The following is a 27995-nucleotide window of genomic DNA, read 5'->3' as shown; positions in this document are numbered from 1 at the left end:
CCACAGGAGGCCAGCGGGTACATACCCAAGGCAGGGGAGGGCACAGTGCCCCACTTCCAGATCAGAGCCAGGGCAGGGGCTAGGGGATCAGGCGTGTTCTGATCCTGGCTCCACCACTGGCTTAGGCTTCTTAGACTCACTTAGCTTTGTAAGTAAAAGGGGGGAGTGTGCAAGGAGGTGAGGCTCTCTCCAGTTCAGATGAGGAAGAAGTAAGGTAATAAACTTGGCCCAGCCCTGGGCAGGAACTCACCTAAAGCACAACAGAGGGACAGCAGGAAGGGGCCCGCACCACGCTCTCCATCGGTCACAGGTGGGAGCTAACCCACAGCTAAACTCTCCATGCCTGCAGAGTTTTCTACCCTGATATTCCCACAAGGCCCCATGGAGCAGGGGGCTGAGGAGGGCGTCCCGGGCTCCCAAAATGGACCCAGTACAAGGCGTTCTCCTCTGCCGGTGCCCTGGTGGTCTCTCCCAGGCCGCACCCTCCCACATCGGGTGGACTGACCCCCGCAAGCAAAGAATTCGGGCTGGGTCAGGGAGATGGTTGCGCACAGCTGGATCTCAGAATTGCTGCCCATCCATGGCCCCTGCCTTTCTGAGCGGAATTACCTGCAGGGGTCCCCTGCCCATCCCATCACTGGTCCACAGGTCTGCAGATGGGCAACTGGAGGAGCCCCCCCAAACTGGCCTCTGAGCTGATGCCAGAAATGAGATGGGGTAAGGAGGGAAGGGAGGAGTCTTTTGCATGGTACAAGGACGTCTTTCTAGGGTAGAAGCCGAGGCCACCAAGAGACGCAGCTCCTCTCTACTGGATCCTTCCCAGCAAATAGAAATATGTGGCCAGACATGGTGGTTCATGCCTATAATCCCAGCACTTTGGGAGGCCAAGGCTGGTGGATCACTTGAGCTCAGAGGTCCAAGACCAGCCTGGTCAAGGTGGTGAAACCCTATCTCTACTAAAAATACAAAAATTAGCCGGGAGTGGTGACGGGCACCTGTAATCCCAGTTACTCGGGAGGCTGAGGCAGGAGAATCACTTGAACCCAGGAGGCAGAGGTTGCAGTGAGCCAAGATCGCACTACTGCACTCCAGCTGGGGTGACAGAACAAGACTCCATCTCAAAAAAGTCATAATAAATAAATGAATAAATACGCTGCATTACTGCTCATCTGATCCCATACCCTCTCCACCCACTACCCCATTTCTCTGCTCCCCTTTACAAGACTTCCCCGAGGAGTGCCCATGCTCCGTCTCCTGTCCCTGTCTCCTATTCTGTGCTGAGCTACCTATTCCCAACCAAGTGTGTGCCCACCGCTTTGCCAGCCAGCTCACGAGGTCACCTGCGGCCTCCACTACACCGGTTCTGATGGACCAGGATGGGGAGAGAGGAGCATCTCGGTCCCCATTCTGCCTGACCTGCCAGCTGCTCCCTTCTTTCACGTCTCGCTCCAGCTCCCCTTCCTCCGCTCCTCCTTCCTCCCTCCAGGTTGGCAGTTCCCAGGTTCAGGCTACACCGCGGCTCCTCCCTGGGCCACCTGGGTCACCTGGCTCACTTCGTGGGTCCTAAGCCATGGCCATAGTGATGCCTCCAGCCTGTCCTGCCCTTGAACTCCAGGCTCTGCCCCTCTGCCTGCTCTGTGTCTTCACTCAGTGATTGATCGGGCATCTCAGCCTTAACGTGCCCATACCCACCTCCTGATCACCATGCTGCCAGAACAAAGAACCCTGCTCCTCCCAGTCTTCCCATCCCGCTTGCTAGCACCATCCCACCAGCTGCTAAGGCCAAAACCTTGGAGTCATCCTTGACACCTCTGTCTCACACCCAGGGCCCACCCTTCAGCAAACCTGCTGGCTCTACCTTCAACATACGCCCAGAATCCGAGCGCATCTCACCCCCTCCACAGTACCACCATGGCCCAAACCACCATCATCTCTCACCTGGGCTATTCAAAACGCCTCCTGACCAGTCCCTCTGCTCTCACCTCTACCCCTGCCCTGACATGTTGTTCTCAGCACAGCGGCCAAGTTCATCCTCCGCTCAGAGCCTGGAATGTTTTCTCACCTCATTTAAGGAAGACCCAAGCCCTCATCTTGATCTCTGAGGCCCCACGTGTCAGAGCCCCCACAACCCCCCCGACTTCATGTCCTACCTCTCTCCACACAGCTCACTCTAGTCACCACCACCTTCCAGCTCCCTGAATGCCCCAAGCATGTTTCTGCCTCAGGGCCTTTGCACTTGCTGTTCCCACTGCCTGAAATGCTGTTCCCCCAGATACCCACACACTGCTGCCCTCACCTTCAGGGCTCTGCTCCAAGGTCGCTGTATCAGAGGCCTTCTCCTGACAGCCCACACACATGCCCTGACCCAGTGTCCCCATCCTCACAGGATTTAACACCTCTGGCAACTACAAATTTTAGTTATTTATCAGTTTCCTCCTATGAGAATGTGGACTCCATGAAGGCAGGACTGTGACCACTGTTCACCGCTCTTATCTGCACCCATGGCACAGGCCTGACACACAGGCGACCCAAGGCACAGTTGCCAAAGGAATGCAGAAATCCCTCGTCCCAAGTCGGGCCCCTGGGGAGGAGGCGGCCACAGCTGGGCCCCTCCCTTCTGAAACCAGCCTGCACCCAGGACAGCTCCTCCCCAGTAAGGTTCACAAACAGATTCACAGCCAAGTTGCAAAGGGGCAGTTCCCCAAAACCAGAGTGGAAAGAGGTCTGGGGCTGATGCCAGGAAATGGTCAGAAGGGGAGGAGTGGGACAGGGCCAGAGGAGGACTTGGACTATTTTTAAAAACTCTCTCCCAAAAAGACCACATTCTTCCTCTGATGAGTCAGAAGCATGTGGCCGGCAAAGGGGACAGGATCCGCGAGCCTCCGCGGCTGCCACCGTCACCAGGCAGGCACATACCCCAGCCTTTCCCACGGGGCAGGTGTGAGACCCTGGCGTCTATTCAGTTTCCCAGGGAAGGAGCAAGGCTGGGCACCGGTGTCCCAGGTTGGCAGGCCACAGAGAGCAAACCAGGCCTCCCTTTCAAAGCCCACAGGGTCCCATCTGGCTCCAAGCTCTTTCTTCAGGCCCAATCTCTGTCTGGCAGGGAGGGGCCTGTTCACTCTGTCCCACGAGGGAGCTCTGGGCAGGAAAGAAACAGCCTTTGCAAAGCTTAGAGCTAAAAACAGCTCAACCCACCCAACAACGGCAGGGCAAGCAGGCCAGCAGCATCTGAGGTCTCCTGAAATGCAAGCCCAGCATGGAGCCCCAGGACCCCCGGGGGCCCTCAGCCACACAGCCCAGGATAGCTCTGGCTGAATTCAGAGCAGCCAGCACTTATGATTCAAACCACACCCCTCAGTGATGTGCTGTCCTCCCCAGATAAGGGTGTGAGTGCAGTTCCAGCTGTTCTGGGGCACCTCTGGCGGGAGTTGGCTCTGAGCACTGCTCCAGGCCAGGGGATGCCTGGTGCCTCCCCTAATCCTCCCACCAGTTCCTCCAGGGGCAGAGCCAACCCACGAATGGCAGGTACCTGACCCTGTTTTACAGAGGAGGAAACTGAGGCTCAGAGAGGGAGAGAGATTTGTTCAAAGCCAAGAATCTGATCAAAGGTGGATCCATGATTAGACCCAAGGTCTTTCAGCTGTGACTGGAAAGATCCATCAGGATCAGGCCAATGGGTCCATCCCACTCCCTTGCAATTAACTTCACAATCTGAGAAGATGCGGACTGGGGCTGTGGGAAGGGGACAGGGAAGACTGGGCTGGAGGTGTTGGGGGAGGGAGAGCAGGGAGGGATGGCTTCAATCATTAAAAGGATTTGCCCTGAGTCCTGTTGTCCTGAGTTGAAGTCAAATCCGGGACCAGGATCCCCCAAGAGAACTGTTCCCAAACACCCGTCCTCTTTCCCTATCAGCTTTAACAAGAGCTGAACTGCTGCTGACCAACCCTGTGGTGCGACTTACGAGGAACCAGACAATGCGGATGCCGCCCACAGCCTGGTCCTAAACTCCCCCTAGTATTCCTTCTGCCTTGGCATGGAAGCCACACTGGGTGTAATGAGCTTCAAGCACCCCCCGACATCCTGCAGGCAGAGACACCACTGCTTGCCCAGTGAAAAATGGGACCACTCTACTCCAGGTCATTTCTGCTCTGAAGCAATCTCTGGTCCTGCCAGTGTGCCCCCCAGGTTCCCCTTTTTGCCATGTCACCATCATGCCCTGGGTAGGGATTTTTAGGAGACTGAGCTCTGTGCTCGATCCCAGCTGAGGCCAGCTGTGACACAGATGCCATCCACTGCTCCGATCCCTGGTTTCCTCTTCCATACAATGACAACTATAAGAATCACCATGCACAGGGCTGTTCTAATGATTAAATGAGATAATAATTCTCAGAAAGTGCTTCACTGAGAGCCTGGAACACAGTAAGTGCTCAATAAATGTTTGTTGAATGAATAAATGACTGCCTCCTGCTAAATGAACAGCAGCACCGGCCTACAAGAAGGGGTGGTGTCCCAGGCTAGAGCTGAAGGGTCCCAGAGCTCCCCGTCACTGCCCTCCAGGAAGGCACTGCCTGCCTGGATGGTGAAGGCAAGGCTTAGGAGGCAGCCCCTCTAGCAGCATCTGACCATGCAGTACCTGCCCTCACTGAAGTGCTACAGGAAGCCATCAGCTTGGCCCAGTGCTGAGCACCCAAAAGCCTGCACCCAGCCCCTTCCTCTTTTAAAGTCAAGATTCCAGGGAAGAGGGTCAAGGACAGGAAGGGGGAGGATCCAAAAATGAGACAGCAAGGCCAGAGTTGCCTTAGTTGGTGCGAAATGCAGCAATGACCAAGCTCTGTGCATGGTGCCAAAGAGACATTCCAATTCCCTGCATCCGCATAGTCAGCACAGGGCCAGCTTGGAGCCATCTGCAGACATGGACCCTTCAAGCAAAGCACGCCGGCTGGAGAATCAGCCCCGGGAACTCAGGTTCCACTTCCTGACTGGATCTCAAAAAATATTCTGCTAGGCTGGTCACAGTGGTTCACGCCTGTAATCCCAGCACTTTGGGAGGCCAAGACAGGTGGATCACTTGAGGTCAGGAGTTTGAGACCAGTCTGACCAACATGGTAAAACCCTGTCTCTACTAAAAATACAAAAAAGGAGCTGGGCATGGTGGCACATGCCTGTAATCCCAGCTACTCAAGAGGCTGAAGCAGGAGCATCGCTTGAACCTGGGAGGCGAAGATTACAGTGAGCCGAGATCGCGCCATTGTACTCCAGCCTGGGCGACAGAGTGAGACTACATCTCAAAAAAAAAATTCTGCTCAATTTAGGGACAGCAAACCCCTCCAGGCAGCAAACCTTCAATGATCCACCAGCATGTCCCCAATGTCACTTGACACAGGAGCATCCCAAGTAACCAGCAGAAAGAGGCCAGTGGCCTGGGAAGGTGGGATCAAGGGCTCGCTTCTTGCAGACTGCCAGCAAGCATAACAGGTGCCCAAAAATGCTAGCTGGAGGGGCGGATGCACGGATGGCCACCTGGACACTGCCTGCCAACACTGAGCCTTTGCCAGGTCTATCCAAGGTCGTCCTGTGGCCCAGTTCTTTGTCAGAGGACAGGGACACGGGGACACCATCTGCTTCCAGATCAGGGTGCAAAGCAGGAAGAGAGTGATGGCAGTCACATCTTCCACACGTGCTTTGTCAGAGCCAAGGTCTCCAGACCCCGCTCCCTCACTCTGGGGACTTTTAAGTTCAACGGCATTCGAGAGGGTGACAGAAAAGCCAGTCTGCATCCCTTGGCATCCCTCTGCCATCCAACAACCCCCCCTTGCTCATTCAGCAAATCTTTATTGTGCCCCAGGAAGCACTCGAGGTTATGGGGTTTGCTGATGAGCACTTGGTCCCCTGGTCATAGGTGCTGTGAGGTGAAGGAGAATACCGGGGCTGAACTGAGATTCAAGAGGACAGTTGAACATCTGGACTCAACTCTCCCAGGTCTGATACTGGCCCTGCATACTCCATGTGGCCATGTGATGACCGGCCCAACACTGCATCCACACAGAACAGGGCACATGAACACCTGGCAATGATCCAGTTCATTCCGCCAGGGGCCCTGCTTCTCTGTGGCCTGGGCAAGGTGCACAGCCTCCAAGGGCCCCTCCACATCCCAGAAGATGTTTGTGTTTTATGCCAAACCAGATCACTGATGCTCCCAAGGTACATGGGATGTTGGGGAGGGAGACAGTATTGGATTTCAAAATTTCCATCCCACCTTGATTTATAGTTACAGCTTTACAGATCTATGGGAGGCCATGGTTCTCAACCAGGGGCTGTTGTGTCCCCCAAGGGACATTTGGCAATGGCAGTAGACACTTTGGTTGCCACACTAGGTGGGGAGGGGGGACACTACTGGCATCTGGTGGGTGGAAGCCAGGGAAGCCGCTAAACATCCTTTAGGGCACAGGACAGCCCCAACACAAAGAATGATCCAGCCCAAATGTCAATGGATCGAGGTTGGGAAACCCGGATCAGAGGGCATTGGTGAAGTCCTCTGGGGATCTATAGCAGACGCTGGCCTGTTAATGCAGGGTTGTGTCACCATTACTAGTCACAGGAATACAAAGACCAAAGCCATTGCCACTGGTTTCCATGGCAGACAAACACCAGGCTACAAGTATCTAAAGAAACTGCATTCTGCTACAGTACTTGTTTTTGTGCCTCTCCCCGCTAGACTGTGGGGGCAGAGACCACGACCTACTTGTGTCTGTATCTGCACCACCTGGCCCAGCATCCGCAATACAGGAGGTGGGGAGAGGAGGCAGCCAGGGAGGGAGGGGGAATATGTACAGCCGCCTCTTTAAGGTGGGACTGCATCTTTTGCCTCTCCATGTCCTCAGTGCCCAGCCACGGTCCTGGTACCCGAGTTAGTAAATAAACAACCAGACTGCCGAGCTCTCCGAGGCCAGGAGCTGCACCCTCCTGCCCTGTGTCCCGGAGCCTAGCGCATGGCTCAACCCTCTATGCATATTCATCAAGTATCCCCTGCTGTGGTGAGAAAGACACAGCCACTGGCGGTCCAGAAGGGGAAGGAGAACTGAACAGTGTTGACAATAGCAGCTGGGCTTCCCTTCGGGAGACCTGGGGGCTGCAGAAACTCCTGAGAGCAGACTTGAGCCTAGATTCAGGCAATGAGGAGTTGGAGGGGGGCCGTCCACCAGTTAGTGCTCCTTGAAAGGGTGACCAAAAGCATGGATAGTTCGTCTGCAATGCCTGGGATGCAGCAGCAAGGAGCAAATGTTAAGCAGGAGGGAGAAGGGAAGAAGGTAGAAATGAGGGCTTCCAGGGCCTGTGCCTTGAGCCCCACAGTATTTGCATGTTTTTATCCCCCTAAAATTCCTATGCGGAAACCTCACCCCCAAGGTGATGGATTAGGCAGTGGGGCTTTGGGGAGGTAATCAGGTCATGAGGGTAGAGCCCTCGTGAATGGGATTAGTATCCTTGTAAACAAGGCCCCGGCTAGGCCCTCCCACCACGCAGGGACACAGTGAGAAGGTACCATCTATAAGGAACAGGCCCTCACCAGACACCGAATCTGCTGTTGCCTTGATCATGGGCTTCCAGCCTTCAGAACTTTGAGAAATAACTGCCTGTTGCTGGTAAGAGTCACGGCATTTCGTTACAGCTGCCCGAATGGGGCCTTGGGTGGGAGTGAAGTGCCCGGGTGCTGCCTTTGCTCTTCTTGTCCCTGCTGACCTGGCCCATTCATGACAAGCATTACTGAGGAAGTGGAATCCAGGTGCCAGCCACAGGGCACAGCAGAAATGCAGTGGCTCCTTGGGTTGCCCAATGTCAGTGCCAAAATCAACATCAGACACCGAACACGTGTTAACTGCGTGCTAAGGGCCCAGTGCTAATCCAAGCCCTTTACTCCTACAGCTCCTATAATTTCCTCCTAAAAACCCTCTGAGACAGGGGCCACTCTCATTCCCTTTTACAGGTTAGGAAATAGAGGCATAGAGAGGTTCAGAAAATTGCTCGAGGTCACATAGTCAATAAATGAGAGCGCTGGCCTTTGAACCCAGGCCACGTGGCTGCAGAGCCTGTGTCTTGAGCCCCTACAGTATTTACAGGTTAAAACCTCAGCCACGAGCCAGCCACCAGTCAGCTGGGCTCCTGTGCTGCTGGGGTACACTCAGGTGGGACCATGAAGCCTCCACCCATGGGAGCAAGTAGGACAGGGCCCCAGTGGGACAGCACATCAGGAGGAGAACTTGGGGGACTCAGATCAAGTGCCCAAGACCAGTGGCCCCCCTGAAGTGTTGCAGCGGCACTGCCCCTAACAGAGCCTCTCAAAGCAGCCCCCCTCCAAGTCTCTCTGGGTCCCAGCCCTAAGCTCCTGGGCATTCTGGTCCAGAACCACCTGGGGGCTGAGGGCAGGCACATGTCCCCGTGAACACCTGGGATTCACCCAGGCCATCTAGCCACCACCCTGGAGATGCACCCAGGCAGGGGTGACCTGAGACACGGGCCCCACTGTGCAGGCCAGAGCAAGCACTATGTGCCAGCTGTGCCAGAGCCAGCACCCTCCCGCTCTGTGGCTGAGGATAACGATGATGTCAGACCAAGCCTGGAAGGGCCTCCTTGGGGCTGGCAGCATCCATCTCTCTCCCAACCTGGCTCCTTGAAAGGGCACCCACTGATCAGAACAGGAGTTAGTGGCAGGAGCCATCTGCTGTCACTTGCAGCACTGACCCAGCTGTTGTCTGGGTCATTTTGTTTCTTCCCACAATCAGACGCTCTCAGACGACGGAGGGGTCTTTGAGAGGTTGAAATCCAACCTGTCAGCCACAGAAAGAATTCCTCCTTGAGGATCCTAATAGATGGGTGGGTCTGTGCACCGGCTCTGGAGTCAGACAGTGGGGACTCCAAATCCCAGCTCCACAACCTAGCAAATGTGCAACTTAACCTCCCTAAGCCTCAGTTTATTCATCTGCAAACTGGGTGTCATGACACTCCTGAGACCCAATTAGGTAATATTCATTCATTCATCCAACCATTCATTCATTCAACCCACATTTATTAAGCACCTCCATGAGCCAAGTCCTGTTCTGAGTACTTGGGACACATCAGTGAACAAACAGAAAAGAAAAAGGGCCTGGGCACAGTGGCTCATGCCTGTAACTCCAGCACTTTGGGAGGCCGAGACAGGCAGATTCCTTGAGCTCAGGAGTTCAAGACCATCCCGGGCAACATGGGGAAACCCCATGTCTACAAAAAATACAAAAATTAGCCAGGCATGGTGGTACACGCCTGTAGTCCCAGCTACTCAGGAGGCTAAAGTGGGAGGATCACTTGAGCCTGGGAGGTCGAGGGTGCAGTGAGCCAAGATGGCGCCACTGCGCTCCACCCTGGGCAATGGAACGAGACCCTGTCTCAAAAAAAAAAAAAAAGAAAAGGGCTCTCTGACAAAGCTTACTGATCCTAGCCCTGTGCCTGGCCCAGTGTGGGTATTCCATAAATGCCCCCCACTCTAAGCCCGAATCACTGACCCACATCATACCCCCATATTGAAATTCTTCCTTTGGCAGAAGATTCATCGTCCCCCAGGAGAAGAGTCTAAATCTGCCTCCTCCCCGCATCCAGCCCTCCCCTCATCCTCGAGTTTCTCAGAATGAGGCCTCTCCTCCTGCACAGGCCAGTCCTCAACTTCCGCTCCTATCCCAGGGCCCCTCTTGCCCTGGTCAGATGGTCCCATGGCCGCCTGCTGTGGCTCCCAGACCCCCGGCTCCCACGTCAATCACACTGCTAGGATGTGCCCCAGCTTGCCACTGCCTCTCCTATTAGTTCAACAAACACCTCTTGGGTGCCCAGCATGGGCCAGGAGTGGACTGCCCTAGGACAGGGCACCACATGGGCTGCGCTTCCTCCTTCAAAGGTCTGGGCACACATGGGAACATGGCAGCCTCAGCTCACAACCAGGGACTAGCTCACCTCGCCAATGTATACAAAAAATCAACACAGTACCAGCAGAAGCAGCCTCCGCACTTTCCTGCTAACAAGTATGAAATCAAAGTGACAATGATTCACCTGAAATCTCAGCACTGCTCTCACTAGCCAGGAATAAATGAATGCTCACTGTCATTTCTGAGACTCTACTAAAACCAGGAACCATATGCAGTGCTTTATGTGTTATTTCACGTGATCCTCACAACGCTATGAGGTGGATATCCAGGGCCCCACTTGACTCCCCACTCTTTTTGTTTGTTTGTTTGAGACAAGGTCTCACTCTGTTGCACAGGCTGGAGTGCAGTGGCACTATTATGGTTCACTGCAGCCTCTACTACCCAGGCTCAAATGATCCTCCCACTTCAGCCTCCTGAGTAGCTAGGACTACAGGTGTACGCCACCACGCCCAGCCAATTTTTTGTATTTTTTCGTAGAGACGGGGTCTCATCATGCTGCCCAGGCTGGTCTCCAAGTCCTAGGATCAAGTGATGCACCCACTTCAGCCTCCCAAAGTGCTGGGATTACAGGTGTGAGCCACTACACCCAACCCCGACTCAATCTTGAGGTTCCCAGGGGAGCTGCTCCACCTGCAATGGCTAATATCATACTGGGCACTAACAAGTCTTCAATAAATGTTGGTTGGATTGAACTGAATCTGAAAACTGAGGCTGAGAGAGGCAAAGCGACTTGTCCAAGGTCACATAGCTAGGGAGTAGGTCAGCCAAGCTATGGCCCAGGTCTGTGCAGCTCTGATGCCTTTGCTCGGCCTCCCTTGGAACCTTCCCGATTGAGCAGCTGTGGTCGACAGCTAACAGGAGCTCTGCCAGGACAGGCTTTCCAGGGCAAAAGGCACTGCCATCTCAGAGCCCCAAGAAAGGAGAAGCAAGGGCCACAGGAGACCGTATTAGGGAAAAGTAAAAGAAAGGAAAACAAAAAGTGGAAGGGCCAGCCTTGTGAGTCATGTGCCCCAGAATATTCCTTCATAGCTGGCTCCAGGGCAGGCCAGGGAGGCCAGGGCACCCGACAGCCCCAGGGACCTACGCCAAGGAGCTAGGAGTGCAGCATCGGGATCGGGTGGGCCTCAGGCTGGGGGTCAGCCTGGCTCTGCCACCAGCGCCCATCGACGCTGGGCAAGTCACTTCTGCTGTCAGGGTTTGTGAGGCTCCCCCTCTGCGAGACAGGAGAGGAAGGCACTCAGAACTGCAGAGGGCTCATTGGGGCTGCCTCTGACTGCAAGGCTGCGGGGGGCAGGACCAAGGAAAAGCCAGCATCTCCCTCTCCTCCCAGTCAAGCCTGGCCCCACCTCCCAGTGCCCCCACTGTGGAGCTGACGCCCGCTTCTGCCCCATCTCCAGCTGCCCACAGAACCGTGAGAGACTGCTCCCGGGCTGCCAGCATGACGGGGCGGGGGGGAGGTGCAGGGCAGGGGAAGCAGCCCTCAATCGCCTTTGAGGCCCACTGGTTGCTCTCAGACTTAGAAGACAGTCATCTGAGGTTCTGGGCAGGGGAAACCACCTTACTGAGCACCTACTACGTGCTGGGAGCTTTGCAGACACCATCTCACTTTAGCCTCACAATGCACTCTGAAGTAAGGCTTGTTATTCCCATCTTTGGAGGGAGCCCCAAAGGCTGAGCAAGGCAAAGGCACCTGCCCAAGACCACACAGCTACTAAGACCCAAGATTCAAACCCAGTCCTGGAGCCCCTAAACCTGTGTTCTCACTCTTGCTCACGTGTCAGCTCCCAGAGGACAGAAACTGTGGCTCCTCCCTGGGTGTCCCCACAGTGCCTCCTGGCAGGTCTTCAAGAGATGCTTGAGGGCCAGGCGCAGTGGCTCACACCTGTAATCCCAGCACTTTGGGAGGCCAAGGTGGGCAGATCACCTGAGATCAGGAGTTCGAGACCAGCCTGACCAACATGGAGAAACCCCACCTCTACTAAAAATACAAAATTAGCTGGGTGTGGTGGTGCATGCCTGTAATCCCAGCTATTCAGGAGGCTGAAGCAGGAAAATCTATTGAACCCAGAAGGCAGAGGTTGTGGTGAGCCGAGATTGCGCCATTGTACTCCAGCCTGGGCAACAAGAGTGAAACTCCGTCTCAAAAAAAAGATCGTTGTTTGGCTGGCCAGGTGGTTACTCCCAAATCCAAGCCCAGGCCCCATTACTGCACTCAAGTGTCCTGGGCTGGTTCCTGCCTATCAGGGACCCCAAACCAGCCTGGCCCCACTTCACAAAAGGGGCATTTGAGGCCCAGGCAAAGTGGAGCCAGAAAGCAAACCTCAGGTGCCTCTGATACACATAGCATTGCCTTGTGACCCTAACAGCAAGGAGACAGCTGGAGATCCAGGTGGGGAAAGTGTGGACTTTGCAGGGAGGCACTCCTGGGTTCTAGCCATAGGCCCATTTCTCATTAACTGTGTAAACCGAGCTGGCCTCCTCCTGATGTCTTGGTTTCCTCCTCTGCTGTAAAATAGATACAGCAGCCCCTGCCCCCGGACAGTGGTGCGAATTCAGTACAATCACCTGGCACAAAGCAGGTGACCTCGTTCCCCTGGAGGGCACCTGCTTACCTTGGCCATCAGCTGGGGGAAGAGGGGGACACTCGGAGCCTAGCTGTCCCCCAAGAAGCCAGCCCAAACAGGTTTGCATTTGGAGCTATGCGTGTGGGTTAATATTTACCTGCTTGTGAACCAAATCTTGCAGGGCATCAGGCATGCCTGAGTCACCCAACCCTGAGAATTCAAATCAAGCAGGAACATGAGGTGTGGAGGGACAGGAGTGCTGAACCCAGGGCAGGCACCAGAAACCTCAGTCTCTCCCAGGCACCCAGACCCAGTGTGGCTGGAGGAGGACAGTCACCCTCCCCAGCACTCCTGCAAATGAAATGGCACCAGCCTGACCCTCTGCCCCTGTAGCACCTTGTTCTGAAGACCCTGGGCCCCAGTCACATGACGGTCCCTTTCCTTAGGAACCTGCAACAGTGAGGGCAACTAAGGGAAAAGGCCAGGGCCAAGAGAGGTGGCCCTACAGACCCCACAGACTGACCCCCAGGCATGGCCATCCAGGCCACCCTAGCAAATGAAGATTTCACTCCTCCTGTTTAGAGTTTTCCTACCTCAATCATAAGCCCAATGCAGAGAATGAGCCATCAGACCCAGTGACTCCTCCCAGCGGCCCTGGGGGGTGTCGGTCCCCTATTCACAGATGACAAATCTGAGCTCAGAGCATTGAATCAGCCTGCCAAGGTCTCTACAATCAGTCAGAGGTAGGGGTGGGATTCCAAGCAGGTCTTCTGGCTCCAAGGCTAATAAATACCCAGCCCCTTCTAGTGTCCCGCCCCTGTGACAGGGCTGCCTCCAAAGCTCCACACCGAAGCTGCCTTGTGTCGATACTTACCATGTACCAGGATTGCACTAAGTGCTTTACCAGAAATAACTCCTAATCGTCCCAACAGCCATATGAGATAGGGACTGATATTATCCCCAACTGAATAACTGAACTGAAACAGAAAGGTTGAGACACTTGCCCCAGGACACACAGCTGACAAATGGCAGAAGTAAGACTCCCACATCAGGCAGTCTGATTCCGGAGGCCAAGGCTCTTAGCTGCCACAGCATCCACCACTCTCCCCACATCATTCTGCTCCCCCCACACCCCAACTGAGGCCGGGCCCTGTGGGTTGCAGGAAATTCACTGGTGGAAAGGAGTCATCAGCTTTCATGAATGCAAAGGCTCCAATCTACACAAGAAAAGAGCTGAAAGCCGAGGAAGCTGGGGAAGGGCCCCTCAGCCCTCCCCACCATTCTCCCTGCCCAGCCCAGGGAGCCTGTGGCACAGTGTTGTCCCCTGCCTGGACCCTATCTGTGGCCCCACAGAGCCACAGCTCCTCAGTGAGGTTCACAGGGCATCCTTTCTGACTCATCTCCCCATTCACTGACAACTCATGTTGGCTAAGCATCTACTGAGGCCCAGACCTCGTGGGACCACTTGCAAAACCAAAGAGAACCTGAGTGTCAAAAGAGGAAAAGGTCCCCACCTGCCCCAGCCACGATGACCTGCCTTCCCAAAGGCAAGACCCTTCCAGGGCCTGAAAGCCATTCCCCACCTCATCTGCCTGGGCCACTCCCAAATACACTTTGCTTAGCACATGCAGCTGGCATCAGAGCAGTCTCCCATGATGACCACTGGGACAGACAGCTGGCCACTTGTCCCTCTGGGCACCTAACACTCTGGACTGGAATCATTTGCTTAGTTTTCTGACAGCCCACTAGACTGTGAGTTCCTTGAAGGCAAGAATAATGCCTTTCATTTCTGTCTCTCCAATACCCAGGGCAGTCCTTAGCATGCCGAAGAGATTCAAGAGATGATGGGTGGATGAGTGGGTGAATAAATGGGCGGGTGGGTGGATGGATAGATGAATGAATGAGTAGGTGGATGGGTAGATAAATGGATGAATGGATGGGCAGGCGGATGGATGGATGGATGGATGGATGGGTGGATGGATGGATGGATGCATAGATGGATGGATGGATAAATGGATGAATGGATGAGTGAATGGATGGATGGATGGACAATGGACAAACGGGTAGACAGATGGACAGATGGACAGATGGATGCACGGGTGGGTGGGTAAATGAATGGAGAGATGAATGAATGGGCGAGTGGGTGGATGGTGGGGAGGAAGAGTCGATGGATGACAGGAGAATGTAAGTAGTGGTCAGAGGACACTGTGCCCAGGGCTCTATTTCAGTGTGGAATTTACTGGAGCTCAGCAACCCAGGAATCCTAGCTTTACCCCAAGTATTTAGTCTGACCCAACCATTTCCTTGCTACGTGTTTCCCCAGCCTGGCCAATCATCCCTATGTAATCACCGTCTGTCTCCTTTACCAAGCCATAGAGCAGGTGACATAATGTCCGAGACTGTGTCTGGCCTTACAATTACATGAGTCCTTCCCCGGACCTAGGCCATCTTCCCCTGGGCCTAGGCCATTCCATCACAGGCCTCGAGACATACTTGTCGAACGAATGATAAATTAACAAAAGACCTGAGAAGCTTTTCAAACATGGGGATTCCGCGGTCCCAGCCGAGATCTGCTGCTTCAGAATCTCTAAGGATGAGGCTCAGGAATTCCTATTTTGTTCAAAAGCTTCCTGGCAATTCTGACAATCAGCCAGGTTTGGGACACACCAGTGTGTGGGAAGAGGAGTCACTAGCTCTTGAAGGCTGATACTGCAGGTGAGGGCATCCAACACAGAGCCCGTCACCAACCCCAAAAGGTTAGCATGTTCCTACGCATTTTCTTTTTGTTTTTTTTGGTTTTTTTTGTTTTTTTTTTTTTGAGATGGAGTCTGGCTGTGTCACCCAGGCTGGAGTGCAATGGCACAATCTTGCCTCACTGCAACCTCCCCCTCCTGGGTTCAAGCAATTCTCCTGCCTCAGCCTCCTGAGTAGCTGGGATTACAGGTGCATGCCACCACACCCAGCTAATTTTCGTATTTTTAGTAGAGACAAGGTTTCACCATGTTGCCCAGGCTGGTCTCAAACTCCTGATCTCAAGTGATCCATCCACCTCAGTGTCCCAAAGTGCTGGGATTATAGGCCTGAGCCACTGCACTTGGCCACATTTTCTTTTTTTTTTTTTTTTTTTAAGAGATGGAGTCTTGCTATGTTGTCCGAACTGGAGGGCAGTAGCTATTCACAAGCACAATCACAGCATATTGCACCTCTTACTCCTGGACTCAAGTGATCCTCCTGCGTTAGCCTCCTGATTAGCTGGGACTATAGGCAAGTGCCGCTGTGCCCAGCCTTTCCTAAGGCTCAAAGAGTCTAACGGCCTTTTTCAAAAAGTGGTCCTTGAACTACTGACTTCAGAGTCACCTGAGTGAACGGGAGGCTTCTTTTAAATGCAGATGCTAAGCTCCTGATACCAACCTATAATACTAGAGTCTCTTGGGATGAGGCCCAAGAATCTGCCTTCTTAGCAGGCTTGTCTGGGTGACCCTGGCTCACATTAACATATGAGAATTACTAGCTCTCAGTTCCCAGGGTGCTTAGGCCACCTGCCAGTCTCCAGCACCTTCGCACACACTGCGCCTTCTGAGAGAGAAAAGTTCCTGATGGGGCAAGCCTTGGTGGACCCCAAGAAACCCAGCAAACCAGGGTGTGGCCAAAAGGTACGAAATGTACCTATTCCTCCATTACTCAGTTCACAGAACGTCAGCCCTGAAGGCAATCAACAAATCACTAAGCCCAGGCCTTCATTTCACAGATGAGGAAACTGAGGCCCAGAGAGGACTGTGCCTTGCCCAAGGTCATAAAAGGGTGAATGACAGAGCCAAGCTTACCCCCATGCTCCCAGGCCCACCCCCGTGCTCCCAGGCCCGCCCTGTGCTCCCAGGCCCCCCCCCCGCCGCCATGCTCCCAGGCCCACCTCTATGCTCCCAGGCTCACCTCCGTGCTCCCAGCCTCCCCCTGTGCTCCCAGGCCCCTCTCCGGGCTCCCAGCCTCCCCCAATGCTCCCAGGCCCCCCATATGCTCCCAGGCCCCCCTGTGTTTCCAGGCCCCCCCCATGCTCCCAGGCTCATCCCTGTGTTCCCAGGCCCACCCCCGTGCTCCCAGGCTCAACCCCGTGCTCCCAGGCTGCCCTAACCTAATTGGGAGTCTCTGCTTCTCCCTCGCCATCCTCTTTGCCTCCAAATATGCTCCCAGGTGAGCCAGCGTCCCTGGGAAGAGCCTTTGTAGGGCAGCTGCTGCTGCCCAAGACATCTCAGCCAGTCTTCCTGCCCCACAAAGGCAGGGTGGTTCCAATTACAGGAGCCTGACCTTCCTCCCAGGAAGGCTCCCGCTGTAAAGCAATGGGTGCTCCAGGGTAGAAGGGACACGACAGAAAGAAGCAAGAACAGATGCAGGTGGGGCATGGTTATGGTGCTCCTGACCCCAGAGGGGGGTTGACTGTCACAGCTCAGTAGATGTGTCCCCCAAAACTCCATAATCAGTCCACAGTGTCTGAGTTTAAAAGCTTAAACAGGCCAGGCGTGGTGGTTCACACCTGTAATCCCAGCACTTTGGGAGGCCAAGGTGGGTGGATCACCTGAGGTCAGGAGTTCAAGACCAGCCTGACCAACATGGAGAAACCCCGTCTCTACTAAAAATACAAAGTTATCTGGGCATGGTGGTGTGCACCTGTAATCCCAGCTGCTTGAGAGGCTAAGAAAGCATTTAATCCAGGAGGCAGAGGTTGCAATGAGCTGAGATCATGCCATTACACTCCAACCTAGGAGACAGAGCAAGACTATCTCAAAAAAAAAAAAAAGTAGTTTAAACAGTCCTGACAAACCACTGACACCAGTGTTGTCAATCTGTATATTTGGGGAAACATCTGTGCCCTGAAATATGTCAATAGGTGCTCATTGGGAGAAAAAAAAAAGCATTCAATACTCAAAGAACAATGGAAAACCACAGCAGAAGTCTCCCTGCTGGAGAATAACAATACTCCACATGTTAAAGGCACTGAGAAGTGCTGCAATTTCAGAATCTGCTTAAACCATGACGCAGCTAAAGGAACTTGGAGGCTAAGAGGAGTAACGTGCCTTGCCCAGAGTCATCCACCTAGGAAGAGGAGGAGGTGGGACTTGGGTACAGTCTACCCATATTGGCAACACACATGCTTAGGATTTAGCAAGATGATTCCTTTATTATTGTTGCTGTTTGTTCTTGTTCTCCTGATTGGAGAAAGAGAAGGCAAACAGCATAGTGCCTGGTCAGAAAGTCATGCCCATGAAAGTGGCCAGGGTCGGGCACAGTGGCTCATGCCTCTAATCCAGGCACTTTGGGAGGCCAAGGCAGAAAGACCGCTTGAACGCAGGAGTTTGAGACCAGCCTGGGCAACGTGGCAAAACCCCATCTCTACAAAAAAATGCAAAAACTAGCTTAGCATGTTGGCATGTGCCTGTAGCTCCAGTTACTCGGTACGCTGAGGTGGGTTGAAGGATCACCTGAGCCCAGGAAATCAAGGCTGCAGTGAGCTGTAATCATGCCACTGTGTTCCAGCCTGGGCGACAGAGCAAGACCCTGTCAAAAAAAAAAAAAAAAAAAAAAGGAAGGAAGGAAAGGAGGGAGGGAGGGAGGCTGAGGATTCAGCCTCCCAAAATCCCCTTCTATTGCTGGGTCTGGCATCATGGGCTGTGTGACCTAGGGTAAGTCCCAGCCCCTCTCTGGGACTGAGATGTCCTATGTGTGGACTAGATGATCCCTGAAAACTCTTCTAGCTCTGCTGTCTGACCCTCAGCTCCTCTGTCTCCCTCCCTGCCAGCCGCATCCTCTCTCTGCTCCCAAGTCCCCTTCTCTGTAAATAGCTGAGGCCTGCCCCCTGGGCTGGGCTCCTTGGCAAGGCTGAGCTCTGGCCAATGGTGGGCTAAGCACTGTTCCTCCCTGCCCAGCCCCTCACCATCCTCACTGTGACTCACCCATTTAGTGTTTCCAGATCTGACTCAACATCATTTCTCAAGGGCGGATGAACTGGGTGGATTTTTGCATCTAGGGCCCGGGAGAACGGGTTTTGCAGAGAGCTCCAAGTGATGGGACGTGAGGTAGAGAGGCCGTACCCACCCCCACAAGGAAGCACCTAGCAAACGTATCCTCTGCACTTCCTCTGGTCTTTGAAGTCCAGCTTTCATATACAGGTCATGCAATCACTTGACCCTTGGGAAAGTTAGCTAAACGTTTTGTGTCTCAGTTCTCACATTTAACATGGAGCTAATCATACTCGCCTCCCTGTTGAGTAGGCAAAAAAATAATTCATGATGCAGCCAGCACAGTGCCTGGCACCCAGTGGTACTCAAGTGATAGTCGTCATCATACGCTGCTATTAAGCTATATATTTTTTATTTTTTAGAGACAGGGTCTCACTCTGCTGCCCAGGCTGGAGTGCAGTGGTGCCATCATAGCTCACTGCAGCCTCAACCTCCTGGGCTCAAGCCATCTTTCCGCCTCAGCCTCCTGAGTAGCTGGGACTACAGGTGCCCACCATCATGCCTGGCTAATTTTTGTTTTTTGGCTTTTTTTTAAAGATGGGGTCTCACTATGTTGCCCAGGCTGGTCTTGAACTCCAGGGCTCAAGCGACACTCCCACCTCAGCCTCCCAAAGTGCTGGGATTACAGGCATGAGCCACCACCCTCAAACTACAGTGTGTCAAACTATAGAGGGTTCACTGAATTGTTTCCTCATCTCAGTCTCCTCGAGTCCCACAGGCAATAGAGGACAGGAAGTAGAAAAAGGTGGCAAATGTTTGACTCTTACAGATTCCTAGATAGAAACCTGAAATCTTACACTTATGAATTATTAGAATTGGTAGAGATTCTAGATTCTCAATCTACCCATCTCACAGAAGAGGAAACTGAGGCTTAGGGTAAAGGCAGGGGGCAAAGTGAAATGTTGCCCAAGCTCTTCTGGCTGGTCCAAGGAAGAAGTGGGATTAGAACCCAGGCAACTGGCTCCCAGTCCAGTCCCCCTCTGAGGCCCTGGAGGAGTGAAAGGAGCAGAAGGCCAGGAGTCTGGGATGCTGGGGTTCTGGTCCCGGGTCTGCCCCACTTGGCTGAAAGATGATGAGCCAGGGGCTGAGGCCCACTGGAGCTCCAAGTCTTCGTGATAAAACTTAAGGGGTTGTAGGGACTGGGGTGTCCCAAAGTCAAGTGGGCAGAATGCTAGTGCCCCACAGGATCCTATCAAGTGATTTGCCAAGGAAGGGACTCATGCTCAGCTGAACAAAGTTTGAAGGGGGACCACAGGGATTTCAGGGGAGGGCTCCAGAGTTAGAGGGTCAGGTTCAAATTCTGCCATTTACTAGCTGTGTGACCTGGGACAAAATATCTACCCTTTCTGTTCCTTAGCTGTGTCATCTATAAAATGAAGATAATGACCATCCATAGCTCACAAGATGACAAGGGATTGAAACAAGAGGCTGGACACGGTGGCTCACGCCTGTAACCCCAGCACTTTGGGAGGCTGAGGGGAGCAGATTACTGGAGGTCAGGAGTTTGAGACCAGCCTGGCTGATATGGTGAAACCCTGTATCTACTAAAAAAAAAAAAAAAAAAAAAAAAAAAAAAAACGAAAATTAGCCAGCTGTGGTAGCATGCACCTGTAGTCCCAACTACTTGGGAGGCTGAGGCAGGAGAATCACTTGAACCCGGGAAGCAGAGGTTGCAGTGAGCCAAGAACATGCCACTGCACTGCAGCCGGGTGACACAGTGAGATTCTATCTCAAAAGAAAAAAAAAAGATAGATTGAAACAAGATCATGCGTGGTACCTGGCACACTTCAGGCCTACAGTGGACACTGGTTATTACTTCAGTCCTATTGGTCACATTTCATATTATCTCTACAGGCGAGGGAACCAAGACTGCAGAGAGGTGAGACACCTGCCCAAAGTGACAGAGCTCATAGCACAGGGCTCTGGGAAGTGCTCCCCATCTCCCCCTCCCCTCGCCCTCTGCCTGGCATCTGCCCTTCCCAGCAGGGACTGCCTCCCTCACTGGCCTCATGTGACCTGTTAATCAAATCCTGCACCAGCCCCATGGAGTTTTCCCATCACTCATTGGGGAGGAAGCAGATGCCCAGGAAACTGCTTAAATAACCCGTGCAGCTCTGGGAAAGCCCCAGCCCTGGCTCCCAGCAGCAGCCCAGCTCCTCCTGCCCAGAAGCACCAACTGTTCTCTGAGACTGCAAAAAGGCAATGTTTAAAGCCACACGGGGACTGTGGACGGTGACCTTCAACTCAAGCCTCCAGTGAGCCGCTCCCTGGGGTTACTCACCATCCGCTTCCACCCCTGGGACTGTGGTTGTTTTAGTTAGAAGACCAGTCCCAGCCTGGATGACCTGGCACGCTGGGAGACCTCAGGCAAGTTGCTTAACCTCTCTGACTCGGAAATCTTTTTGGAAGAGAAAAATGAGCAGAATTTGGGAAGGAGTAAGGAAGCAGCAGGGTTCAGAGAATGACCTAGGAATCGAGAGCCTTTTAACAGCCTTGAAAGCTCTCCCTGGTAACTCTTCTGTCCCTTGCAGCCCAATCTCTACCCCAAACAAAAAGTTCTAATCCCGTCATCCCCTAGCTTGAAACAGTTGACTGGCTCGCAGGGCCCACAAGATAAAGTACAAGCCCCTAGTACAATGGACAGAGCTCCTGAGCAGCACCCTCCTGCACCCTCCCTGACATGGCCCTGCTATTCCCTCCCCTGAGCCTTGGCACATGCCTGGATGCCTCCTGCTTCCTGACCTAACTCTGCCTTTTCCACTGCTTGGCTTGGACACTCCCCTGGGAAGCCTCCTCGGAGTCCCTCCACCTGCATCAGGCACCGCCCACCCTTCAGCTGTTGCCCATCCACCTCCCTCACCAGATTAAGGGGCGCCACACCTTACTCATCTTGGAATCTCCAGTTCCTTGCCCAGTGCACAGCATTCAGTAGGTGCTTAGTAAATATGTGTTGGGAGGAGAGGAATGCAAGGACAGACAAATGAAAACAAATGAACAAAACCACAAGCTTTGGAATCCTCCTCTGCAACACGGGAATGCCGTGGGCAAACGAGGTGGACTGCCCCCCTTGGTGTGAATCCTCACTCCCTACACAGTCGTGCACCTGCTGGCAGGTGCACTGGGTCACCTCCGGGCCTCTTTCCGCTTCGATAAGGTGAGACGCTTAATAGCACCTGCACCTCACAGACTTATCGTGAGGACCAGGGGCCGATCCTCCCCAGGTGTTTAGTTCAGCACCTGGCACTAAAGGTAAGTTCCTTGCACCCATCTTCCCCTAGCTCCCAGGCTGCCTGCCCTGGCTCCTCCTCCTCCACCAGACTATAAATATAAGAGCTCCCAGAGCTCACCTCCCTGTGGAGGGATCTCTCCTCTGAATTGTCTCTCTGGGTGGTCACACCTGTCCCCTTTATATGTTAAGGATGCCCAAGTTTGCATCTCCAGCCCAGAGGCCCTCACTACCCCCTTGGACTTCTTTGGGGTTTTTTGGCTTTTTTTTTTTCGTTTTTGAGATGGAGTTTCACTCTCGTTGCCCACACTATACTGCAATGGCACAGTCTCAGCTCACTGCAACCTCCACCCTCCTGGGTTCGAGCAATTCTCCTGCCTCAGCCCCTGAGTAGCTGGGATTACAGGCGCCCGCCACCACACCTGGCTAATTTTTGTATTTTCAGTAGAGATGGGGTTTCACCTTGTTGCCCAGGCTGGTCTCAAACTCCCAACCTCAAGTGATCCTCCCGCCTTGGCCTCCCAAAGTGCTGGGATTACAGGCGTGAGCCACTGTGCCCGGCCTACCCCCTTGGACTTCTAACCAGCCTTTCAATGTGAACCTGCCCCAAACCTAACCCTTGGTTTCTCCAAAAGCCATGCTCCTCACTCCCTCTTAACCGTCTCCTTTCATGACACCACCACTCACTCAGAGACTCAAAAGAAGAATCTAGAAGTCATGCTCAGTTCTTCTCTTTCCCTCACCCCTGTGTACAATCCACCAGAAATTCCAGTTGATTCCAGCTGATATATAACCCAAACCCCAGACTTTTCTCCTATTCCACTGCCAAATGGGAACCTTTCCTTGCCTTTCCTCTGGTTCCCAGCTCCACCCCTCCACCCTGGCTCTCTACAGCCAGTTCTCCTCCCAGCAGACATGGGATCTTTTGCAAAGGTAAATCAGTCCCTCCCTGCCCTTGACCCTGCAAATGTTCGTAGTCTTGTTTGCTGGACCATGGGTTATTGGAGCGTAAAACTTCACCATATCTTTGTACCCATCCATCACCCCACAGCACTGAGTCAAGTGCTTCCACATCATAGGCACTTGGTAAATTATTTTTGAATAAATTATTGGAAAAAGGTGAATTTCTTAACAGAGTTTTTACTAGCTGGAATCTTGGAACTATATTTCATTAGTAAAGGTATTTATGGGAAGTGGAAAACAAACCTCCGATGGTTTCCTTTTGCACCTAGAGTAACAGTCCTAACTAACATGGCCTCTTCCACACCCTCCTAAACAGGCCAAGTTCATCTGGCCTCAGGGCTTTTGCATTTGCTGTAGCTCCTACCCGGAATACTTTTCCCTCAGATCCTTGCAGGGGGAGCTCCTGCTTGTCATTCAGGTCTGGCTTAAATGTCTCTCTTCAGAGAGGCCTCCCTGACCACCTGCAGCTAACGAATCCTGTACCCCCACCCCCACATACACCCTCTCTACCCCTCATCCCCAGTTATCACCATCCACCAGTCTGTTTCCTTCACAGGACTTAATGCATAACATGTGGTTACTTTATAAATTTGATGTGTTTGATTTTTGTCTCCTCCACCATCATATAAGACTCACGAGGCTGGGCACCGTGGCTCACACCTGTAATCCCAGCACTTTGGGAGGCTGAGGTGGGAGAATCACTTGAGGTCAGGAGTTCGAGACCAGCCTGGCCAACATAGTGAAACCCCATCTCTACTAAAAATACAAAACTTAGCCAGGTATAGTGGCAGGCGCCTGTAATCCCATCTACTCAGGAGGCTGAGGCTGGAGAATCGCTCGAACCCAGGATGCAGAGGATGCAGTGAGCCAAGATCATGCCATCACACTCCAGCCGGGGTGACAGAGCAACACTCCATCTCAAAAACAAAAACAAAAACAAAACCACCAGGGCAAGGTTAATGTCAGCTTACTCACTGTTGTAACTGAAAAGGATCAGAATATGCCATCCCAGGGCCAGAAGTGGTGGTTCACACCTATAGTCCCAGCACTTTGGGAGGCTGAGGCAGGAGAATCATTTGAGGTCAGGAGTTCAAGACCAGCCTGGCCAACATGGTGAAACCCTGTCTCTACTAAAAATACAAAAATTAGCTGAGTGTGGTGGTGCGCACCTGTAATCCCATCTACTCAGGAGGCTGAGGCTGGAGAATTGCTTGAACCCAGGAGGCAGAGGATGCAGTGAGCCAAGACCATTGCACTCCAGCCTGGGCAACAGAGCAAGATGCTGTCTCAAAAAAAAAAAAAAAAAAAAAAAAAGAATTATTTTGAGCTCAAGGTACTTGAGCAGCAGCCAATACAGGAAGAGCTCTTTGCCTCCCCTTTTCTGCCTAAAAGCAGGGCACACATTTCCCTTTGTAAAGGTGACATAAATTTCCATTTGCAAAGGTGTACCCCTCTACCTTACTTTATCTGCATAACAAACCTTACTAAACCACCCTTATCTACCATACATTTCCTAGTCACTTTCCTGAAATTTACTGACCCCTAAGAGTCCAATACTTTTCTTTTGTCTCCTCACTTCTCCACAATTTATCGCCCTTTGTTAAAATGTTACGTAAGCTCCTGGGTCTAACTGCCTCTTTGGATTTTCATTTCTTTTCTATGGAGACCCCTTACAGTAAAAAAATACATATATATAGTAACATTAAATAAAATCTATATGCCTTTTCTCCTATTAATCTGTCTTTTGTCAGTTTAATTCATAGGCTCTATCACAGAACCTAACAGGGTAGAAGAAAAGATATTCCTCCCCTACATGACAAAAGCCAACATTACTAAGCTTTGACCTGGGCCACGCAATATCATGAGCATCCTACCTGCCCTTTCTTGTCAAATCTCCATGCCTTATGACACAGCTACTAGTGTTATCCCTATTCCACAGATGAGAAAACAGATAAGAGAAGGGTCAAGTGAGTTGCCCAAGGCCCAACATAGAAAGAGCCCCAGCAGGGAGCAGGGTACCCCTCTACTCCCAGCGTCTACTCCCAGAACCCAACACAGCCTCTCCCTTTGTGGGCCCTAAATAGATACTTGCCAAATGAGTAAATGAATCACTGAATACATGAATGATATGCACCACAATATTGAGAGAGGCTGTCTTCAGGTGGCAAAATGATTTCCATTTTCTTCTCTCTGTATTTTCTCTGTGTTTTCTTCAGTGGTCATGCGATACATGTATAACTTAAAGTAAAACAAATGCCTGTTTTAAAAGAAATTCAAAGGTTGTGGGTAATGTCTAGGTTCAGGAATATTTTTCTTCAATTTCGGGAGACTGTTATTTTCCTACTTAATTTAACCATTGTTTTTCTAGGGAAATTGAATAAAAAGCCCACATTTCCAAAGCTCACTCCAAGTCTGCCCACTTCAAACAATGAAGAGAGGGGAGTAATGAGAGCTGGCTCCCGCCTTGTATGCTAATGGCCGGGATTCTGGGATGCATACCAATCAGCCAGCGACTAGAACCAGGACTTTTACAGAGAGGAGGGCACTCTGGGGCCAGGCTCTCAAGGAGAAAGAGGGGTTCCAAAACTCAGAAATGCCACCTCATCTTGGGCCCAACATGCCAACATGGGCTGGCACCATCACAAACCACCTGCACTGCCCTGGACTGGGGATGTATCTGCAAGAAGGTGGTGTTGGGGCCTGGTCTGAGACCATCCTCTCAACCAACAGGCCAGTGGGAAGATGAACCCCATGGCAGGGAGCTCAGTGCTGGCTCTAACCAAGAGGTGGGCAGACCCTGGGCCTGTGGCCAAGTGGTCAATTATCCTTCCCCATTTTCCATAGCATATGGGCACTGCTGCTAGGGGCTGTCAAAGGCACAGCCGGGCCAGGCCCTGGGAGGGTTGGCGCTGCTCAAGGAAAGACACAAGAGTGGAGAGGCAGGACTCCGGGGCGAGCAGAATGTGGTGCTTCTAACTCTTGGTTGCTCAACCCTGGGCAAGTTCAATGGAGGCAAAACAGAGATAATGATGCACCCCACCTCTTGGAGTAGCTGAGAACTGAGAAAGCTCCCACGAGCCATGCACTACCAAGGTGCCTGCCACTCTGCAATTATGAGCCATTAGTATTAGCTCTTTCCTGACACCAGGCCTAGGGAGCCCGTGTGGGTACCAGAATTCTATTCTCATCCTTGCCCCTGAGCCACAAGGTAACAAACCCAGCTATGACCAGACTGGGCCTTGCCAACACTGAATTAAAAAAACATACATTAACTCCGAACTAAGAAAGGCAAAGTGTGCTGAGATTCCAGGCATGTGATGAATCTCTCCCTCCCCTCCTCAAAGGGAAAAGGAAAACCGCATAAAGGAGGGGAGCACGGGACTGCAGAAAGATCTCAGGGCCTGCCGGGTTCAAATCCTGCCACTTACAAACACAGTGCCCTTGGATAAGTCTCTGAGACTCAATTTCCTCATCGATAAGATCGGAAAATAGGACGTACTTGCAGGATCGGCATGGAAATTAAATGAATTGATGCATGAAAAATATCTGGCACCTATAGGCATAAAGTCAAAATCAGTTGCCTTTAAGCAAACAAGTTCTCAATTATCTGCCTAAATGAAGGACAGAAGCAGCTTTTCTGGTATCAATTAGCAATGGGGGGAGAACAGGAGACCCCTCTTCCCAATTAAGTTTTGTGCTTGATATTAACATGGATTTTTTTTGAGAATCCACCAGCCACAGATGCAGGGGCTGGAAGACCAGCAAGCTTCAGGGACAGCAGGAAACTACCAAGAAACCTCAAAGATTTTTAGGGAAGCAGGGTGATCCACACAGCACAAGGCCCCTGACAGGTGAGGTTTGTCAGATTTCCTTTGCTGGCACCCAGATGATGCTGTGCCTCCTGACTTGAGGAAGGTTCAATGCTTCCCCTACTCTGTTTCAAGCCCTGCAGACTTTTGATTCACCTGACACCAGAGCCAGACTGAACTCTCAATAATTCATGCCTCTGAGCCTTTGCACATGCCATTCCTTCTGGGTGGAGAAAACACACATTAACTCCCCTGGGTAGAAGGAGCAGCATGTGCAAAGGTTCAGAGGCATGAATTGTTCCCCTCTCCCTACCCCATTCCCCTGCTACACTCCGCACATCCCTCCACTGTATGTAACATGTGCACATGTCCATCTTCCAACCAGAGATCACAGGATGTACAAGAGCAACCGTCTGCCTCTACTCTCTCATGCAGGTCCTGAATCCATATGGACAGGTCATGCCCACTGTTGCCTATGTCAGCTCTAGCCACCCATGTCCTGGACATCACAACTCCACAAGCCCCAAGCTACTTAATTTGTCCACGGTCTGTCCTCAGACACCACTGCTGCTTTTCCTCCCAGATGCCTGAGTCATCCTGAATAGGGTTACTCAATGGCAAAGTCAGCTCTCAATTAACTGAATTTCCTCCTTGTCCCATTTCCTCTCTTCCTGGTGCATGGTAACAACTCACTTGCTGGAATGGAGAGCTCCTGTGATTTGAGGGCAATTTACAACCTCTATCACCAAAGCAGGCCCTGCCCAGCAGCTGCCCCTCAGCAATGAGGACACTAAGATCAGTCCTGGAGCGCCATCACACCAAAATGTAAGTTCAAAGGGAGGGACTGAGTTGCTCATTGCTGGATTCCCAGTGGTGTGCTGGTAAACAGGCTCTTCAGGGGAAAAGATTCTGATTTGCAGTGTTTGCCAATTTCTGTGATATAAATACTCTCACTCTGGCCAATTTCAAGCTGCCAATGTGACATCACTGAATGGAGTTGAGATATGCAGTAGCACACCACTACGTACATTACACACACACCCACACCCACACTCACACCCCTTGATATGGTTTGGCTGCGTCCCCACCCAAATCTCATCTTGAATTGTAGCTCCCATAATCCCTGCATGTCATGGGAGGGACGTGGTGGGAGGTAATTGAATCACAGGGGCAGGTTTTCCCCATGCTGTTCTCATGATAGTGAATAAGTCTCCCAAGACCTGAAGGTTTTATAAAGGACAGTTCCCTTACACAGGCTCTCTCGCCTGCCACCATGTAAAATGTGCCTTTGCTCCTCCTTCGCCTTCTACCATGATTGTGAGACCTCCCCAGCCATGTGGAACTGTGAGTCCATTAAATCTCTTTTTCTTTACAAATTACCTAGTCTCAGGTATTTCTTCATAGCAGTATGAAAATAGCAGTATGAAAAAGAACTAATACACTCCCCAACGCACACACACACAAAGCAGCAAATA

The 27995-nt window shown here is 52.3% G+C and overlaps 1 protein-coding gene across 19 annotated transcripts in view, besides 8 other annotated features; it reads right to left on the bottom strand.

Moving 5' to 3' along the window:
• Nucleotides 1-27995, bottom strand: part of ARHGEF10L (Rho guanine nucleotide exchange factor 10 like) — a 184441-nt gene that overhangs the window by 125204 nt on the left and 31242 nt on the right. The window contains exon 1 of one of the 19 annotated variants that reach the window (XM_047424071.1): nt 26-44. The exons of the other annotated variants lie outside the window; for them this stretch is intronic. The gene's annotated coding sequence lies outside the window, so the exon portion shown is untranslated. Of the gene's footprint in view, nt 1-25; nt 45-27995 lie in introns of those variants that run through there. 19 annotated transcript variants of the gene reach the window in all.
• Nucleotides 1634-2150: an enhancer, noted in NCBI's record as "H3K27ac-H3K4me1 hESC enhancer chr1:17897017-17897533 (GRCh37/hg19 assembly coordinates)". NCBI's record gives its function as "activates a minimal SCP1, AML or CMV promoter by ChIP-STARR-seq in primed H9 embryonic stem cells {active_cell/tissue: H9 hESC(primed)}" and the evidence as "EXISTENCE:reporter gene assay evidence [ECO:0000049][PMID:30033119]".
• Nucleotides 2667-3183: an enhancer, noted in NCBI's record as "H3K27ac-H3K4me1 hESC enhancer chr1:17895984-17896500 (GRCh37/hg19 assembly coordinates)". NCBI's record gives its function as "activates a minimal SCP1, AML or CMV promoter by ChIP-STARR-seq in primed H9 embryonic stem cells {active_cell/tissue: H9 hESC(primed)}" and the evidence as "EXISTENCE:reporter gene assay evidence [ECO:0000049][PMID:30033119]".
• Nucleotides 3184-3478: an enhancer, noted in NCBI's record as "tiled region #13018; K562 Activating DNase matched - State 8:EnhW". NCBI's record gives its function as "activates a minimal TATA promoter and a strong SV40 promoter by Sharpr-MPRA in K562 cells {active_cell/tissue: K562}" and the evidence as "EXISTENCE:reporter gene assay evidence [ECO:0000049][PMID:27701403]".
• Nucleotides 3700-4216: an enhancer, noted in NCBI's record as "H3K27ac-H3K4me1 hESC enhancer chr1:17894951-17895467 (GRCh37/hg19 assembly coordinates)". NCBI's record gives its function as "activates a minimal SCP1, AML or CMV promoter by ChIP-STARR-seq in primed H9 embryonic stem cells {active_cell/tissue: H9 hESC(primed)}" and the evidence as "EXISTENCE:reporter gene assay evidence [ECO:0000049][PMID:30033119]".
• Nucleotides 6459-7078: an enhancer, noted in NCBI's record as "OCT4-H3K27ac-H3K4me1 hESC enhancer chr1:17892089-17892708 (GRCh37/hg19 assembly coordinates)". NCBI's record gives its function as "activates a minimal SCP1, AML or CMV promoter by ChIP-STARR-seq in naive H9 embryonic stem cells {active_cell/tissue: H9 hESC(naive)}" and the evidence as "EXISTENCE:reporter gene assay evidence [ECO:0000049][PMID:30033119]".
• Nucleotides 7079-7700: an enhancer, noted in NCBI's record as "OCT4-H3K27ac-H3K4me1 hESC enhancer chr1:17891467-17892088 (GRCh37/hg19 assembly coordinates)". NCBI's record gives its function as "activates a minimal SCP1, AML or CMV promoter by ChIP-STARR-seq in primed H9 embryonic stem cells {active_cell/tissue: H9 hESC(primed)}" and the evidence as "EXISTENCE:reporter gene assay evidence [ECO:0000049][PMID:30033119]".
• Nucleotides 18364-18658: a silencer, noted in NCBI's record as "tiled region #1053; K562 Repressive non-DNase unmatched - State 23:Low". NCBI's record gives its function as "represses a minimal TATA promoter and a strong SV40 promoter by Sharpr-MPRA in K562 cells {active_cell/tissue: K562}" and the evidence as "EXISTENCE:reporter gene assay evidence [ECO:0000049][PMID:27701403]".
• Nucleotides 24975-25619: an enhancer, noted in NCBI's record as "H3K27ac-H3K4me1 hESC enhancer chr1:17873548-17874192 (GRCh37/hg19 assembly coordinates)". NCBI's record gives its function as "activates a minimal SCP1, AML or CMV promoter by ChIP-STARR-seq in primed H9 embryonic stem cells {active_cell/tissue: H9 hESC(primed)}" and the evidence as "EXISTENCE:reporter gene assay evidence [ECO:0000049][PMID:30033119]".

The sequence above is a fragment of the Homo sapiens genome, chromosome 1 (assembly GCF_000001405.40).
Source record: "Homo sapiens chromosome 1, GRCh38.p14 Primary Assembly".
NCBI classification, from domain to species: domain Eukaryota; kingdom Metazoa; phylum Chordata; class Mammalia; order Primates; family Hominidae; genus Homo; species Homo sapiens.
The sequence above is the reverse complement of the archived record's forward strand: the minus strand, read 5'-3'. Positions and strand labels throughout refer to the sequence as shown.